A 16,984-nucleotide genomic window follows, 5' to 3' on the forward strand; every position below is an offset into this window, starting at 1 on the left:
CATTCCCAAATAAAAGAACTGAAAATGCAATTGCTATTTCGTTACTATCCCTTAGGAATATTTGGACTGTAACTGCTGACTATAGTGTGGATGATGCTTAAATGATTTTAATATGATAGCAATGGCTATGGTTCACTGAATGAATTTTATGTACCAGGCCCCATGCTAAGAATATTGTCGCATTAAATCCCCATAACAACTCTATGAGATTAATATTGTCTCCCTTTTACAGATGAGGAAATTGAAGCCGGGAGTTTAGCTAAGATGTAGTATTTGAACTCAGGTCTCTTTAACCTCAACTTCATAATTATTTGTCTACCTCCTTCTCTAAGTGCATAACTGAGCTCTGCTGTATGGTCTTCATGCCTTCTAATGCTCACCAAAGATGCTGAACCACCAGCTAAAATTGTGCTTGTTTATTTCTTGCCACACAGCTTGCCAAGGCCCTTCTATGGCCGATGTTGTGTTCCTATTGGATATGTCAATCAATGGAAGTGAGGAGAACTTTGACTATCTTAAAGGATTCTTGGAAGAAAGTGTATCTGCCCTTGACATAAAGGAAAATTGCATGAGGGTTGGCCTTGTGGCCTATAGCAATGAGACAAAAGTGATAAATTCACTGAGCATGGGCATAAATAAGTCAGAGGTTCTCCAGCATATACAGAACCTTTCTCCCCGAACTGGGAAGGCCTATACTGGAGCTGCCATCAAAAAGCTCAGGAAGGAAGTTTTTAGTGCACGGAATGGCAGTCGGAAGAATCAGGGGGTGCCCCAGATTGCCGTGCTGGTGACCCACCGAGATTCAGAAGACAACGTGACAAAAGCAGCTGTTAACCTCCGACGGGAGGGTGTGACCATCTTCACCCTGGGCATAGAGGGCGCCAGCGACACCCAGTTGGAAAAGATAGCATCCCACCCTGCTGAGCAGTATGTCTCCAAACTGAAGACCTTCGCTGACCTGGCTGCTCACAACCAGACATTTCTGAAGAAGCTGCGGAACCAAATAACACACACAGTCTCTGTCTTTTCAGAGAGGACTGAAACGCTCAAATCTGGTAAGGTCTTCTGCTGAAAGAAGGGTTGTTTGGATTCTTTTTTTCTTCTCTTTCAAATATTCTGTATACAAAGTGGATTGGCTTGGGAAGATGTGGATGGGAAGGATAAGTTCCTAATTCTTTTACTTGAGCTTGAAAATATGAAGCCTAATTTGGGGACAATAAAAGCCATTGAGGTGTTGGCATGGGGAGAAGAGATTTCCCCTTTTAGTTCCTCTTTTGTGCAGCTTTAATTGGATTTGTTACTCATCCATGTTCCAGAATACCTTCCTTTGCTATTTTTCTCTCTTCTTTTGTCTTTCTCTCTTTTGCCTCTCACGTTCCCCTGCTCTTCCCTTTATTTCTTTATTCTTTTTGTACTTTTCTCACCCAAATCATCTTTCCTCATTTCCAAATTCCAATTTAGAGAATAAACAGGAGTGTGATTTGAATGAAGAAAAAGTAATTATGTAATTTGTTGTGGGGTACCATTCTAGCATCCACCAGTGCAGGGACAGAGACAGAGGGTGATGTATCTTATGTTTCATATATACACTTATAAATATTTTTATGTATTGGTATACATATAGATGTGTATATTCTTCCATAAATATTTATAGCATATTTACTACAAATGTCATTGTCTCACTCATGAATAGTAGCCTTAGTTAGATGACTAGGAGCGGGTAAGGAGTAAATAATTTGCTCAAGAGAGTTCATGGGCCCACAATGTCCAGTTAAATACCTGTCCAGTTAAACACCTTCTCCATTTCCCAACACACTACTTGACTTTTTGCTAAGCAGTTATTTACTAATGGGTGAAGTGTCTTGTAAAAAGCAGCTTCAAATTTTTTAAATCTCCTACCATATTCAGACTTATCCTGATTCATGGCAGAGAATTGGGGCAATAGTCTTAAAGTGTCAGAAGCGATTCATTTGGATGTTAAGATTCCCCCATTTTAAGCTAACAAAGCATGTATTTTAAGCCTAGAAGCTGTTTCCCATTTTTCTGTCTGAAGAGGTTCATATTTGTTCTTCTTTCCATGTGCTCTCATTTCTTCTTCATGCTTGCTCAAATGCCACATGCAACTTATTGATTCCTTTTTAGGTTGTGTGGACACTGAGGAAGCAGACATCTATCTGCTTATCGATGGCTCAGGGAGCACCCAGGCCACAGATTTCCATGAAATGAAGACGTTCCTGTCAGAGGTGGTAGGGATGTTCAACATTGCTCCCCATAAGGTGCGGGTTGGGGCCGTTCAGTATGCTGACAGCTGGGACTTGGAATTTGAGATCAATAAATACTCCAACAAGCAGGATTTGGGAAAGGCCATTGAGAATATCAGGCAGATGGGTGGGAATACAAACACAGGCGCAGCACTGAATTTCACACTGAGTCTGTTGCAAAAAGCAAAGAAGCAGCGAGGAAACAAAGTTCCATGCCACCTTGTTGTCCTGACAAATGGCATGTCCAAGGATAGCATCTTGGAGCCTGCAAACAGACTGAGAGAAGAGCACATCCGAGTTTATGCTATCGGGATCAAGGAGGCCAACCAAACACAGCTGAGAGAAATTGCAGGAGAGGAAAAGAGAGTGTATTACGTGCATGACTTTGATGCATTGAAAGACATAAGAAACCAAGTTGTTCAAGAAATCTGTACTGAAGAAGGTAAGAGAAATCGTGGCTTTACCTACTGACCTTCACTCGCAAATTGCTATCCTGGCAATAATTGACATTGCTGGTTTAGAAAAACAACATAAATTACTAAGTTGAGATTTGTTAACTTGTGTAACTGTGTTCTCTAGAACAAAGCTAAGAGCCCATTATACTGTTGTTCTAAATAATATCTGAAGCATAAGAAAAATATTTGGAGGAATTTCCCTAATAAGTATTAATCAGCTTCCTCTCACAATTTCTTGCCAGGATAGATATATGAGTGTACACCACACGTGTAATATGATAAAATGATTTCAGATTGTAAGGAGTTCTTCAGGTTTATATGAATGTCTTTTTATACAGCTTTTATGAAATCATTTAGAGCTCCTGTTTTCAACCAGGAGTGATTTTGCACCCTTAGAGGTTATTTGTCAACGCCTAGAGACATTTCTGATGGTCATAACTGGAGGGTGCTCCTGTCATCTAAGAGGTAGAGGTCAGGGATACTGCAAAGCATTTTACAGTATCCTACAACACACAGACTTGGCACAGTAAAAATGATACCCAAGATGTCAATGGTGCTGAGGTTGAGTAACCCTGAGTTATGTATTTAAGCAAGTTACTAAATAACAAATAGAATATTCTCACTTTTATTGTCTTCTAAGCTTTATTTACTACTAATTATTACTAAGTACACATGTCAATATAAAATTATTTGTGTTTTGGATTTTCCTGTTTACTCTGAACTTTTTACATGTAGCTGACTTGAATAAACATCACAGTTTTTCCTATGCAGCTTGCAAAGAGATGAAAGCTGACATCATGTTTCTGGTGGACAGTTCTGGAAGTATAGGACCTGAAAACTTCAGCAAAATGAAAACATTTATGAAAAACCTGGTGAGCAAGTCTCAGATTGGACCAGATCGGGTGCAAATTGGTGTAGTCCAGTTCAGCGACATCAATAAGGAAGAGTTTCAGCTCAACAGATTCATGTCCCAAAGCGACATTTCAAATGCAATAGACCAAATGGCTCACATTGGACAAACCACCCTGACTGGTAGTGCCCTGAGCTTTGTGTCTCAGTACTTCAGCCCCACCAAGGGCGCCCGGCCCAACATCAGAAAGTTTCTCATCCTCATCACGGATGGTGAAGCTCAGGACATAGTAAAGGAACCAGCAGTAGTGCTTCGGCAAGAAGGTGTAATCATCTATTCTGTGGGAGTGTTTGGCTCCAATGTCACCCAGCTTGAGGAGATCAGTGGGAGGCCCGAGATGGTTTTTTATGTTGAGAATTTTGACATTCTGCAGCGCATTGAAGATGATCTTGTTTTTGGAATATGCAGCCCCCGTGAAGGTAGGCATGGGCATACTCACTAGCAGGACTATCCGAACAACAGATGTCTTTTTTAGCCTCTATTTCTTGAATTTAATTCTATTTACATATTGTAAACTTTTGGTTTAATTGAAATGTTTCTCCTAGTGGCTTTGACCTGTTGAATTAAACAGACAGTGAGGAAGAGTTTTGGTTTACCTAGACCCATTCCCATTTGTAGGTAAATAGCACTACAGTGATGGATCTCCATTTAAGAAAAATGGTATCATACCAGTTCTTAGATCAGGTTCCCTAGAAGCAGAAGTTAAGTCAGGGGCTCTTTGGAAGTGATTTATTGAGGAGGTATTTTCAGAAGGGGTGTAGGAAACAGGTCAGGGCATGGGTAGGAACTGAACAAGGAAATCACCTTAGGTGGAGTCTAGTTTGGCCTGATCCCATGGGGAGCTCCAGACCATGAATTACAGAGTTGGTCCTACCTTGAGGCGAGGGGCTCAGCCCTGTGTACCCTGTGTCACGTGGGCTACATGTGGGTTGCTGAGGCAGCCCTGGCATTTATCCTCCTGGGCAAGGTGGCTCCTCTTTGACCTACACATCTACTATATATGGTGCTTATTTTTGCAATTTCTAAAGACCAATACTTGTATCAAATGAGGTGATGTTTGCGAAAACACTTTGATAGTTATTAAATTTTATAAAGCAGGAATATAGTAAGAGGACTTGAGCAACGGTTGCTTCAAAGGAAGTAAGGAACCTAGTCCCCACTGTCTTCCCATGAAACTGCAGAGTAATGGAAATGATCAAAAGTACTGGGAATGTAGAGTAATGGAAATGATCAAATAAAAGCTCAGCCAATATAAGGGGCTGATTTATATGTGACCCATAGGGCTTGATGACAGAGGCATTCTGAAAATGAAGGACATAGATCTGCATGGAGTTTAAAGGGAAGAGAGGAACATTGTTTGCTTATTCAAATAACAGTTCTGTTCAACTCCCACTGGAAGGTTTGGTGCTCATGATCTGTATTTTGTAGAAAAAGAGTACACCTGGTTTCTATTTCCTGGTAACTTCGCCCAGAACAAATATGAACTTTCTGAAGCGTTCTGACACTGAGTAATGTATTCCCAGTCTCCTGGGTAATCCAAGCAGGCTTCCCAGGCAGTCAAAGACCACGGGGACATAGTTCTTCTACGTAAATTCCCAAGTACAGCCAGCCTTTCTTGGGAATTTTGTTGATGGCCCTGTACACATGGCCTGCAGTTAGTGGGGATAAGTACAATGGCTCTAAGGTTTTCAACAGCCCTTACATAGCAAGTGGCTGGCGAAAGAAGAAAATGTGGCAAGCCTCTGGGGGGTGGGTGCTTTCTCACAATTCCATTTCTCAAGAATGGATGAGTTAATGTTTGGATCATACCTTTCTATGGCCTGTAGAGAGAATGTGCTACATAAGGACTAAATAACAAACCATCTTACAATTCCCCTTCTCCAGAATGGATGAGTTAGTTTTGGAACACTGCACCTTTGGAGGGAACATGCTCCACATGGATTAAGAATTAATTGGGTCTTTCCTGCTTTTCTGTTCCATGGTGCTGACCTCAGATTTAAAAAGTTAATAGCATCATGCTAGAACAGCTTAGTTGGACCCAGTGCGAAGTGGGCTTATTTCTATGATGAAACCCAAAACTGAAAATAGATGTTTCAAAAAAGTCAAAAAGTGAGGAAAAAGTAACTTTGAAAAGTCAGCCATCAGAGAATCATGAAAAATATACAGTGTTGCCAAATTCATTTTCATTTGGTCATTTCCCCAAGGTTTATATTAAGAATACAAATCTCAAGATCGTGGCTAAAATAAAAAGAAAAAAATTGTATAAATGAAAGCACATGTTGGATAAACCACTTATACAGGAAAATTTACACAGAATTGATTTTTTTAGTCCAAAGCTTTTAAAATTTTTTATTCCTGGCAATCCTGTGATTGTCACTTGACCTCGTCCCACTCCCTGCAGTGGGCCCCCACTGACTCCCGCCTTATCTTACAAGCTCACCTAAGTGAGTATTAACTGTATACTTCCAGCACCAATGTATGTGTATTGTCCTCTTATCCAGGGAACCGACATTCTAATGCACAGCATGATCCCCTTGGAGAGAAAACACTAGCAATTTATAAAAAGGTTGAGGCGTCTCCCATGCTGTCCAAAGCTAATCTCATATGGTTTACCTCTCTCTTCCTCTTTCAGAATGCAAGCGGATTGAAGTTTTAGACGTTGTGTTTGTCATTGATAGCTCTGGCAGTATTGACTATGATGAGTATAATATCATGAAGGATTTTATGATTGGCTTAGTGAAAAAAGCTGATGTGGGCAAGAATCAGGTCCGGTTTGGGGCTCTGAAGTATGCTGATGACCCAGAGGTGCTGTTTTATCTGGATGACTTTGGCACAAAACTGGAGGTAATTTCAGTGCTCCAGAATGACCAAGCCATGGGTGGCAGTACTTATACTGCTGAGGCACTGGGCTTCTCAGACCACATGTTCACTGAAGCCCGGGGCAGCCGCCTGAACAAGGGGGTCCCCCAAGTCCTCATTGTGATCACCGATGGGGAATCCCATGATGCTGATAAACTCAATGCCACGGCAAAGGCCTTGCGGGACAAAGGCATTCTTGTCCTGGCTGTGGGGATTGATGGTGCCAATCCCGTGGAGCTGTTAGCCATGGCAGGATCAAGCGACAAGTACTTCTTCGTGGAGACTTTTGGAGGTCTGAAGGGAATATTTTCAGATGTGACAGCCAGTGTCTGCAACTCTTCAAAAGTAGGTAAGTTTTGCCAACTAAGTTTTTCCTAATTATTAGCAGAGGGACAAATGAGAGAGAAAGCAAAGCAATGGCTCTCAGGAACAAGTTTTCCAGAGAGGAGAGAAGGAGCTCTAATTGTTTCATAGGACTTTCTATATTATAAAATCTGAGGGTTGGAAAGACCTTGGGCATATTTCATTCAGACTTCTCCCCAAAGAGAGATACTTTCTGCAGCATTCCTAATCACTTCTTCCTAAACTCTTCTAATGATGGGAAATTCAAAAGTTGTTTTGTTTTGTTTTGTTTTGGCTTTTTTTTTAAAGACAGGGTCTTGCTCTGTTGCCCAGGCTGGAGTGCAGTAGCATGATCACGGCTCACTGCAGCCTCAACTTCCAGGACTCAGGTGATCATCCTGCCTCTGCCTCCCCAAGGAGCTGGGACTACAGATGTGTGGCATGAGGCATGGCTAATTTTTTTTTTTTTTTTTTTTTGTGAAGACAGGGTTTCACTATGTTGCCCAGGCTGGTCTCAAACTCCTGGATTCAAGCCATCTGCCCCCCTTGGCCTCCCAAAGTGCTGGGATTACAAGTGTGGGCCACTACACTGAGCTGAATTCACCAGTTTTGAACAGCCTTCATTAGAACACATATGTGCTTACACATTTTTCCACCCACTAGTTCTTTTTCCTCTTTATGCAAGAAACAAATTCTCCTCCTAAGAACCAGCTAGAATTGCCTGAAGTCTTCTTTCCTTCAGGCTAGAAGTCACCAGCTTCTTTGCTTATTTCAATTGTGGCAGAAGGTCATTTAAAATGTGAAGCCCAGTATTAAAAACTCTGTTCCAGCCTCAGAAGTTTCCAGGACAGAGCATAGTGGGGCTTCTATTCTGGCAGCTGGAGATTGCATTGCTGCATGTATGTATGTATTCCTTCCTTCATCATTTTACTATCATTTTATACTTTTGGTTCAGAGAAAGATTGTTCTCTACTTAGTTTCCTGAGTAATTTTCCCAAGATGTATTTTACTAAAGATACTAAATGTTTTTACTAGATGAATTGCTATTAATTCATGATTCCAACATCTAGATATAGTAGTTCTTTTTAAAACTCATCTAACTTCTCTGGTTTTCCTAAGCCTTGCCTCCTTAGAATGCAGCTACTATCTTTTTCTTTCACAAAACTAATAAAATCTTTCTGGGTCTTACTGAAAACTGGGACAAATCTCTTCCTTCCTTGTAGCCATTGTCTAAAATTGGATCTATCCTTCTCCAGTTCACTGTAGAAGTTGACATTGCATTTTCATATTGAAAATTCTCCTTGGGACAGAAAAACAGTACTAGATTTCCTTTATTGAAATCTGAAACAATTTAATAAGTTAACCAATTCCTAAAGGATCGATTTACCATATTTCTTCTTATCACTTCCTTGCTTACCTGGACTTCAGGAATCTCAGACACCTTTAATATTTCTGAGGCTATGATGAGAACTAAGTTCGGAGAGTGGTGAGATCACTGGGGAATTCATGGAAACGATCATGCTTACCAGAAAGCTAAGGAACACACATGTGCCAAGCATAACTCATTCATTGGCAGTGGTCTCTCATGTTCTTCTTGTTTTATATTTGCTGTGTTAATATGGGGGAAGCATCTTTATATTGCATTGCTTGTTCACAAATATTTTTCTCAAATAGATATTTTTGCCTACATACAGCAGAAAGGGGCTGATAAAAAGGAAAACTGACTAGATACAGACCAAAAGGCATCCTTTTAAAACCTCTTCTCAATATGCCCTAATGAACTAGAAAAATATTTATTGGCTCAAATGACCAGGGAGGCTAAGTCAATAACATGAACTATCTGCCTCTTTGTTTGAATCCCTAAATGTATGTGTGTTTTGTTTTCTCTTGGTGTGCTACTATTGTCACCGGGCTTTCTGGAAGAGCTGAGGCTAGGTTGTAGATGAGAACAAGTTTTCCATAGCGCTGGCCCCAGTTCTCTGGCATCTCAGAAAATAAAATGGCCTAATACCAAATCAACAAGCCAAGAGAAGCATAAAAAGATGTGTGAGTGATTCATTCCTTGTACTGACTTTAAGAGCTGATCATTTGCCTTTATTTCCTCTACAATTATTGTGACCACATGCTAGCATAAGATAAGAAACCACTTTCAGAAATATTTCTATATAGCTGCAAACTTTTTTTTTTTTTTTTTTTTTGAGACGGGGTCTTGCTCTGTCACCCAGGCTGGAGTGCAGAGGCACAATCTCGGCTCACTACAAGCTCCGCCTCCCGGGTTCACGCCATTCTCCTGACTCAGGCTCCCGAGTAGCTGGGACCACAGGCAGCCACTACCACACCCAACTAATTTTTTTAATTTTTTTTAGTTGATCCTGGGTTTCACCATGTTAGCCAGGATGGTCTCGCTCTCCTGACCTTGTGATCTGCCCGCCTCGGCCTCCCAAAGTGCTGGGATTACAGGAGTGAGCCACCGCGCCCGGCCTATAGCTGCAAACATTGAATTTACTCTTGGTGGATTAAGGAAAGAATAACAATCTGGGTTTTCTGTTGTTCCTTCTCTTCTTTGTAGATTGTGAAATTGACAAAGTAGATCTTGTTTTCCTTATGGATGGTTCAACTAGCATTCAGCCAAATGACTTCAAGAAAATGAAGGAATTTCTGGCATCTGTTGTTCAAGACTTTGATGTCAGCCTCAACAGAGTGCGAATAGGAGCGGCCCAGTTTAGCGATACCTATCACCCGGAGTTTCCACTGGGAACTTTCATAGGTGAAAAAGAGATATCATTTCAGATTGAAAACATCAAGCAGATCTTTGGAAACACACACATCGGTGCTGCACTCAGGGAGGTGGAACATTACTTCAGGCCAGACATGGGCAGCAGGATAAATACAGGTACCCCACAGGTGCTGCTGGTCCTTACAGATGGCCAGTCCCAAGACGAGGTGGCCCAGGCCGCGGAAGCCCTGAGACACAGAGGTATCGACATCTACTCCGTGGGCATTGGGGATGTGGATGACCAGCAGCTCATTCAGATCACCGGGACTGCAGAGAAAAAACTGACAGTGCACAACTTCGATGAACTGAAGAAGGTCAATAAAAGGATCGTTCGCAACATCTGTACCACAGCGGGTGAAAGCAGTAAGTATTTAGCAAGTTCTTCATTCGATTCCCTACACCATCTTCTCTGGCATTTTCTTCCAGCTCCATTGTCATCCCCTGGGGCTAGTGGGAGAATTTAGATTTGTGCCTCTGGATTTCAAATTGAGCTTTTCACAGTTATTAAATATTTGTCTTGACCTGTGGATTGAGAAACAGGGTGTTTGATATCCTGTGCCCTTTTTTCTCCCTGTCTCCTGGGGGAGCATGCCTCCTTTGTGAGTGGGAATGCCTGCCTTCAGGTGTGAGGAAAAGGCCATTGTTTGCAATCTGGCTGGTTTCAGAGGTTGAAGAGCAATGCCTCAAAGAAAGGAAATATTTGACTGATTTTTGGTTGCTTGGCAATACGGCCTATAGGGCTGCCAAGAGCTGTGGTACAGGTAGGTAAGAAACCTCCCTAGAGGTTTATATCTTTATTATGAAATTTTACTGCAGAAATTAGTAAATATCTTCTTTACAATTAGTGCATTTTGACACTTTTTTCAACAGATGGAAGTAAAGTGTCTTAAAGGAGAAGTCACTTTTTCTGTTATAAAGGTATCTTATGGGTTGGTTATGATTCTATATAACTACCAAAGGTAAACATTAATCCCAGATTTCCACTCAAAAAAAAAAGTTGCAAGGTCATTAAGAGGCAGCTCTGAAGACAGACAGCCTGACAGCAGATCCCTGCTCTATGGCCATTTTTTTCCGGGACAAGTTGCCTAACTTCTCTAAGTTTAATTTTTTCACCTTTGAAATGTGAATAATAGCAGTACCTAGTTCAAAAGAACATTGTGAGGATTAAATGAGAAAATGCATATTTCAACTTTAATGAGCATAACACCTGAGATATAATTATAAAGTGCCTTCATTTTTATCTACCAGTGACCATTAAATTTATGAATGGGAGCTAGCTCTTCCTTTGCCCCTCATCACTTTCAGGAAATAAAAGAACCTTCTTTTGGTGATTAATATGTCCATCCCAGTGTAATGTTAAAACTTTACATTTTATTCAAGGTTACCCCACATTTCCAGCTTGCTACAGGCTGCCTTGCTGTGAGAGAAGTGGTTGACATTTCTCCCAATGTCCCCAGACTTTCACTGCACTCCCCATCTTCCAGGTGCTCCTCCATCTTACTAACCATAGTTTCTGGTCTCTCCAGAAGGAGAAGGTACTAGGAAAGGGGGAACAACTAAAAGGGTACAGGAAAGTTTTTAATCTGATGGCCCTTATCAGGAATTGGTTTTCTCTGAAAATAGCCCGTGTCTAAAGCTGGGTCCATTCATAGGTCCTTCGAAGATTCCACCTCCTGCCCCACATCATCACCTCCCCAACCAAGCCACCTTTGTCTAAAGATCTCTCCATCACAGTTTTTTTTTTTAGGAGGCTAAGTATGTCTCTATTCCAGAGTGTCCCTTATGCCTTTCTCAGCCTCTGGGCATCTGCTGATGCCTCCAGCTTTGTTCTGCTGAGGTTTCTCTGTCCCCTCCAGGGGCTTCTTAGATGGGAGATCAGAGGAGCCCACAACAGCTTGCTCTTCTACTCAGCCATATCAGCTCCATGGTCAACAATAACATATCGATTGCCCTAATAAAAACTGGGAATCACAGCCCTCCAGCGTGATTGCCTCTTCTTTGTAGGGAGGGCAATATTCCATCCTGTGTCTCATGCTTTAGAATTTCCAGGATTAGGTTATCTCCAGATTATCTCTGAAAGCCCCTCTCTCAGCTTGAAAAGGAAGTCACCCACTCTCCTTGCGTATATGTGTGTGTGCCTGATGGGAGAGCCCACAGCACATCAACAGCTCTCTCCAAACACTTTTCCAAACTGCAGTCTTAAACCTTTAATAAGACCTGATGTGCAGGTTAAAGGTTAAGAGTTCTGTAGTTGATTTGGGACTACTGACTCTCTAAGTTCTGCTTCACATACTTTGGAATGTATCTGATTACCTCGGCCAAACCTTCCACATTAATTTCTTGTTTCATGTGAAATACTCAAGCCCAATTATTAGGCAGAAAATTCTCTCTGAACCATCCAGTTTCTATCTGAGTGTGATGAAAGAAAACCATGTGGAAAGTAAAAAACAGAAGTATGAACTCCAAGTAAGTAATGAGTTATTTTTTAAATAGTCATGAATGCAAAAAAAAATAAGAAAAATACTCTATATTAAGATAAACTTGAGGTTATTACTTCAGCAAGGAAGAATGTGAGGCAGGCTATGAGCTGAGGACTGATGAAGCTGGAATGAACACTGATAAAGCTTCAAAGGCATGTACAAATATATTAGGGGATGCCAGTTCTTTTTAAACTATAAATCCCAAAACAAGGAAATCAGACAGTAGCTGGGTATGGTTCAAAACAAACTGGACTTAAGGCCTGAACACTTGCTGTGCTTCTTATTAAAATATGCATAACTTTGGAGATGTCAGTACCATTTCTGAGTCTTAGTTTTCTGGTTTGTAAATCTAAATAATCTCTAAAAGTTCCTCTAATTGTATACTGTGATTCAACATATGTGAAAGGGAGGTCAGACGCATGGAGGTATGATGGAGGTGACTAAGAATCATTATTTTTTGAGCATCTACGAAGGGTCAAGCCTGGTGTTCTAAGCACTTTAAATGTACTATCTCACTCAATTCTCCCAACATCTTACATGGTTGGTGTTTTTGTTTTCATTTATAAATGTGGAAACTGGGGTTCAAGGGAATATTGGTAGCCTGGTCTAGATCATACAGGAAGTAAGACTAAGCACATTTTGAAACCTAGGGTTGTCTGACCCCCGTCTGTTCCTCTCACCACCCCCATCCCTGACTTTTTTGTTAAATTAAGCTGTTTTCTTGATATAGTTATTGTCTAGGTTATCTGATATTGACATTATAAAGAACTAATATCTAAGTGTTGTGCTTCACCAATTAATAGCTGGAGCTTATTAAGACATCATAGGGTTGTATCTTTGAAATTGTTTCCACAAGCTGATATTCCCTAAGGAAACCACTTCCTGCTGTCACTTCCAATAACATAACCTAGTAGTAGAACTAGCAACCTGCATGACTTGTCATCACTGGCTAACCAGGAAGTGGTAGAATAAGGTGGTTCAGCATGTGGACTCCAGAGAAGTCTGGATCTGAATCCCAAGTGTGAGAGACACAGTGTTAACTGTGAGATCTTGGGCAAGCTTCTCTGTCACAGCTTCTTCATCTGCAAAATGAAAAAGAGCTTCTACTTATTCTGTGTCTTATGAGGAGAAGTGAGACAGTGAATTGGAAGTATATGGTAAGTGTTCATTGAGAGTTAGCTAATATCATAGCACGTTGCTGAGAGTACCATGAAGGGATGTCTTGAATGAAAATTTGTGGAGTAATGGGGTTAATTCACAGGAGGACAATTTACCAACAATTCCTTAGTTTAGGGACTTAAATATTTTAGCCACATTTCAGAGCTATATTCAAATTTAATAAATATACGTGGTATTTTCTTAAGCAACTGTTTTCTCACCTTTATCCATGCTTATTTTCTTGGTTTTTCTTTGAGACTGGCTATTCTGTCCACTAGAGGAGACTTTGAGCAATTTTTAGGATGTGGAGGTTCTGCCTGTTTTTTTAGCATGGAGCCATGATTAGGTAGCAGAGAATCAGGAGCATCTCTCATCTGATGTATCTATCATTATGGATAGATGAATCAAGAGGGAGACTGAGCAAAAGATTAGTCTCATTAGGGTAAGAGACAACCTCAGGATTTGATTCAAGAGATGTGAAAAATATAAGGAAAAAAATAGATGTTCATGTCCAACTTTTCTTAATAAGGAGCTCTTTTTATATTCCTGCCTTAACTGGGTCTGGGTTCTCCAGAAAACAGAGCCTGAAGCAGAGTTTACATGCCAATACTTTATTGGGAGTGCAGTCCCAGGGAAGCAAGAGTGAATGGAAGGGAAGTGATGCGGGAAAGGAGGGGAAAGTAAATACAAGGTAGTATGTTACCAAGTTAGCCACAGCTTAAGAAAGCATAACTGGTGCGTTGGTCATGCAGAACATCACTAGAGAAGCCCTATAAAACCACCGTGTATACCAGCCCAGCAGAGGGAATAAAAGAGAGGATTTACCTGCCAATTGCTTCCCATCTACTGCCTCTCATAAGTCAGAGAGTTAACTTCCCTACACTACTGGGTTGCGTTATCCAGCCCCTTATGGAAACTGCTGGGGAAATCAGAAACAGGTCCCACAGTGCACTACACCTAGGGCAGGAAATGCTGAAGGGACCAGGGCCTCCCTAAGTTCACGTGGGTTGCACACGGGCACCAGAGCCAAGGTGGCCGTTCTGCAGTGAGCATGGTGGAGGCTGTGTCAAAGCCAGGCTGTCACTTCCACGGTTAGCAGACTAAGGATGATGGCAGCTAGGGCTCTTCCGTGGACAAATGTCTACGCCTTGGGAAAGGGAGGAAGCAAATCTGGGAGGTATATAAACTGAGTCTCTAACAGTCCCTAGCTATACTTTATAGATGATCCTTTCTTTTTTAATCTAAAATACCCCATCTTTCAAAGTCCCAAACAGATTTCTCTCCTATCCCAGCTAATAACTGCCACTTTCCCCTTTAAAGTATTTTCTCAAGAATCTGTCTTCTAATCTTACAAATGTACCCTAGCCTCTTGACAGTATTTCTTAATACCAAGAATCTGCCATCATCAGCTCCAATTAAGTACTGTCTTTATAAATTAATAATTAGAATCAGCTTTTGGGCTTGGCAGGAAACAATGAGACTATAACTGTCTGATCCAATTCACTCTTTTCTGTGCTTTTGTATTTTTACTTGGAAATATATAACCCCCTTATTTTTATAGACAAGAAAATTAATGCCCAGAGAGGATAAGAGTTGCCAAAAGTAGTTTGGCAGTAACAGAATGGTGACCAGCATGTGACTGAAACTGAACTTCTGTCTTCCCACTCACAGACTTGCCCCCCAGGATTCCACATTGCTATTTGGAGGACTAGTCAAGGGCTCAGCGGGCTACTCTTACTTCTCTTATCACCCTCTGTAGCCAGTCCTGCCAATTACCTTCTTAAATATTTTGCTTTTATTAGCCCTTTCTTATTCCCACTGCTGTTATCCTACTTTAATTCTTCATTATTTCTTTGGAAATCCAATTTCAGCTTTCTCCCTAGCTCACTTCCAAAACTCCCTGCCTCCAGTCCTTTCAAGTCACCAATGGCAGATTCACTTTAAAGTACAACCTGTGTCATGGAAGACTTCAAGACAGGGCTCCTGATTTAAGGGCAGATGTCTCAGTGGAGTTTTTAGGCTGTTGCATGAGAGCCTCTTGCTCAGTATGGTTTGGTCTCTCTCACTGTACTTAGACACATGGTTACTAATTCTGGACTTGTCCACCAAATTCCATTCCTTCTATCACATTATTATGGAATCATTTGTCAATTCAAATTAAACACAAGGAACTTGTTTACCTAAATAAGTTTGTACGTTCAGCAATCTAGACAAAAATTTAAAATACACAATGTTTATAGGCAACAGTTCCCAAGGTCACTTGATGTCATTTTGGTATTTCTGCTGGTTGGTTTTTTTCACACAATTCTGTTTTCCTTAAAGACATTATCATATCTTGGTTACTACCTGGTTTTCTGCTCAGGTTTAAACAGTCATCATCAAAAATGAAACTTTCAAGCTCAAGACAGATATGAGAAGACGTAGATGCAAGAGGAATTTTGGAAAGGATATATTCTGCTTTTTTCTAAATAGTTTATCTTATTTTCTGATGAAGAAGAGATTTCCAATAAAATACAGTAAAATAAGATGCTCAGTCTTCCAGATTTTTGATAACACTTTGATTTACCTTGAATCTCATGATGAAAATTGATTATCAAATAAAATTTTTGTTTTCCCTCAGTCAATTCTCATTAAAAATCAAGTTGCCAACACTTGTTTTAAAAGTTGAAATTGATGATTTTGGTTTTAAGCATTTGCAAATGTCCAACTGACCAGTGTGTCTGGGAAGTAGTTAAGCATTTGTCTTTACAAGGAATATCTTAAACATTGCTGATCTAAGCAAACCAAATTAAAAACAACCACTCATTTTATCAAGCAAGCTGTATGTGTTCAGTTTGCTGAAAAAAATTAGAGTTTTTAGCCAAGTTAAAAATTCGTGAAAGGAGAGTGTATGAGTCACATGACTTTATTGTTCTCTAATTAACTGCCTTTAGGACACTCAGCTTAAAATATCAAGCCCTTTCTAGTTTCTCCAACTCTTAAGTTTCCCTAGAATTAATAAGAATAAGAGCAAAGCACTTTAATGCAACATGCCTCTAAGTATTTAACCTCAAAATGGCAGTGTCCGTGGCTTCTGGAATGGCTGAGCTCCTGAAAGCAGCACCATCTTTGACATGGTCGAATGTGAATAATTTGGTTATCAGTTTCTTCATTTGTCAGACTTACACCAAGCAAGATCTCAAAGGATCTCCTGAATTTTTTAGTTTTTTTTTTTTTCTTTTCTGCATGGATGTTAGAAGACAACAAGAGGAATCAAAAAGGCCCTTTTTAGAAATATAAATCATCAAAACCATTCCTTAGATGAGTCCTTTGTGATTTATTTTTTTCTAGATGACTTTATTCAAATGTTCTTAAATTTCCCTTATGATTATTGTAATTTAATATTTGTTGAATGACCTCAATTGATAAGTAGCATTATATGAATGTCTTATTTTAGACTAATGACATTTCCACAGTGTACTTTAGGGATATTTAAATGATTCTGCATGACTTTTTCAATAGCTAAAATAAAATCTTTCAGAACTTCATTATAGAATCATCAGATTTTATATGACCTGAAAAAATAATAATGAACCCTTACACTTTTACAGGTTAGAAAAGAGTTGATTCTTAGCCTCTTTCTTTATTCATTTATGCCTTTCTTTGTGTTCCAACTTTATAACTGAAATAGAATTCCAAGTCCCTTGATTCAGACATGGTGTCTGAGTTAAATAAAGGCGTTTGTTGATTTATTAAGACATGCT

The 16,984-nt window shown here is 40.2% G+C and overlaps 1 protein-coding gene across 16 annotated transcripts in view, besides 1 other annotated feature; it reads left to right on the forward strand.

Annotated features, from left to right (window-relative positions):
- Window positions 1-16,984, forward strand: part of COL6A6 (collagen type VI alpha 6 chain) — a 160,323-nt gene that overhangs the window by 47,840 nt on the left and 95,499 nt on the right. For all 16 annotated transcript variants that reach the window (XR_924103.3, XM_017005713.3, XM_017005711.3 and 13 more), the window contains 5 exons: window positions 435-1,055; window positions 2,143-2,703; window positions 3,488-4,045; window positions 6,259-6,834; window positions 9,397-9,966. Coding sequence is in view for 15 of the 16 variants with exons in the window: in XM_017005713.3 (XP_016861202.1) it covers window positions 435-1,055; window positions 2,143-2,703; window positions 3,488-4,045; window positions 6,259-6,834; window positions 9,397-9,966 (2,886 nt within the window). In the remaining variant the exon portion in view is untranslated. The remainder of the gene's footprint in view (window positions 1-434; window positions 1,056-2,142; window positions 2,704-3,487; window positions 4,046-6,258; window positions 6,835-9,396; window positions 9,967-16,984) is intronic.
- Window positions 14,264-14,513: a silencer, noted in NCBI's record as "fragment chr3:130297667-130297916 (GRCh37/hg19 assembly coordinates)". NCBI's record gives its function as "represses an EF-1alpha promoter that drives an FKBP-Casp9 reporter gene in an ReSE screen in HepG2 liver carcinoma cells {active_cell/tissue: HepG2}" and the evidence as "EXISTENCE:reporter gene assay evidence [ECO:0000049][PMID:32094911]".

This window comes from Homo sapiens, chromosome 3 (genome assembly GCF_000001405.40).
Source record: "Homo sapiens chromosome 3, GRCh38.p14 Primary Assembly".
NCBI lineage: Eukaryota > Metazoa > Chordata > Mammalia > Primates > Hominidae > Homo > Homo sapiens.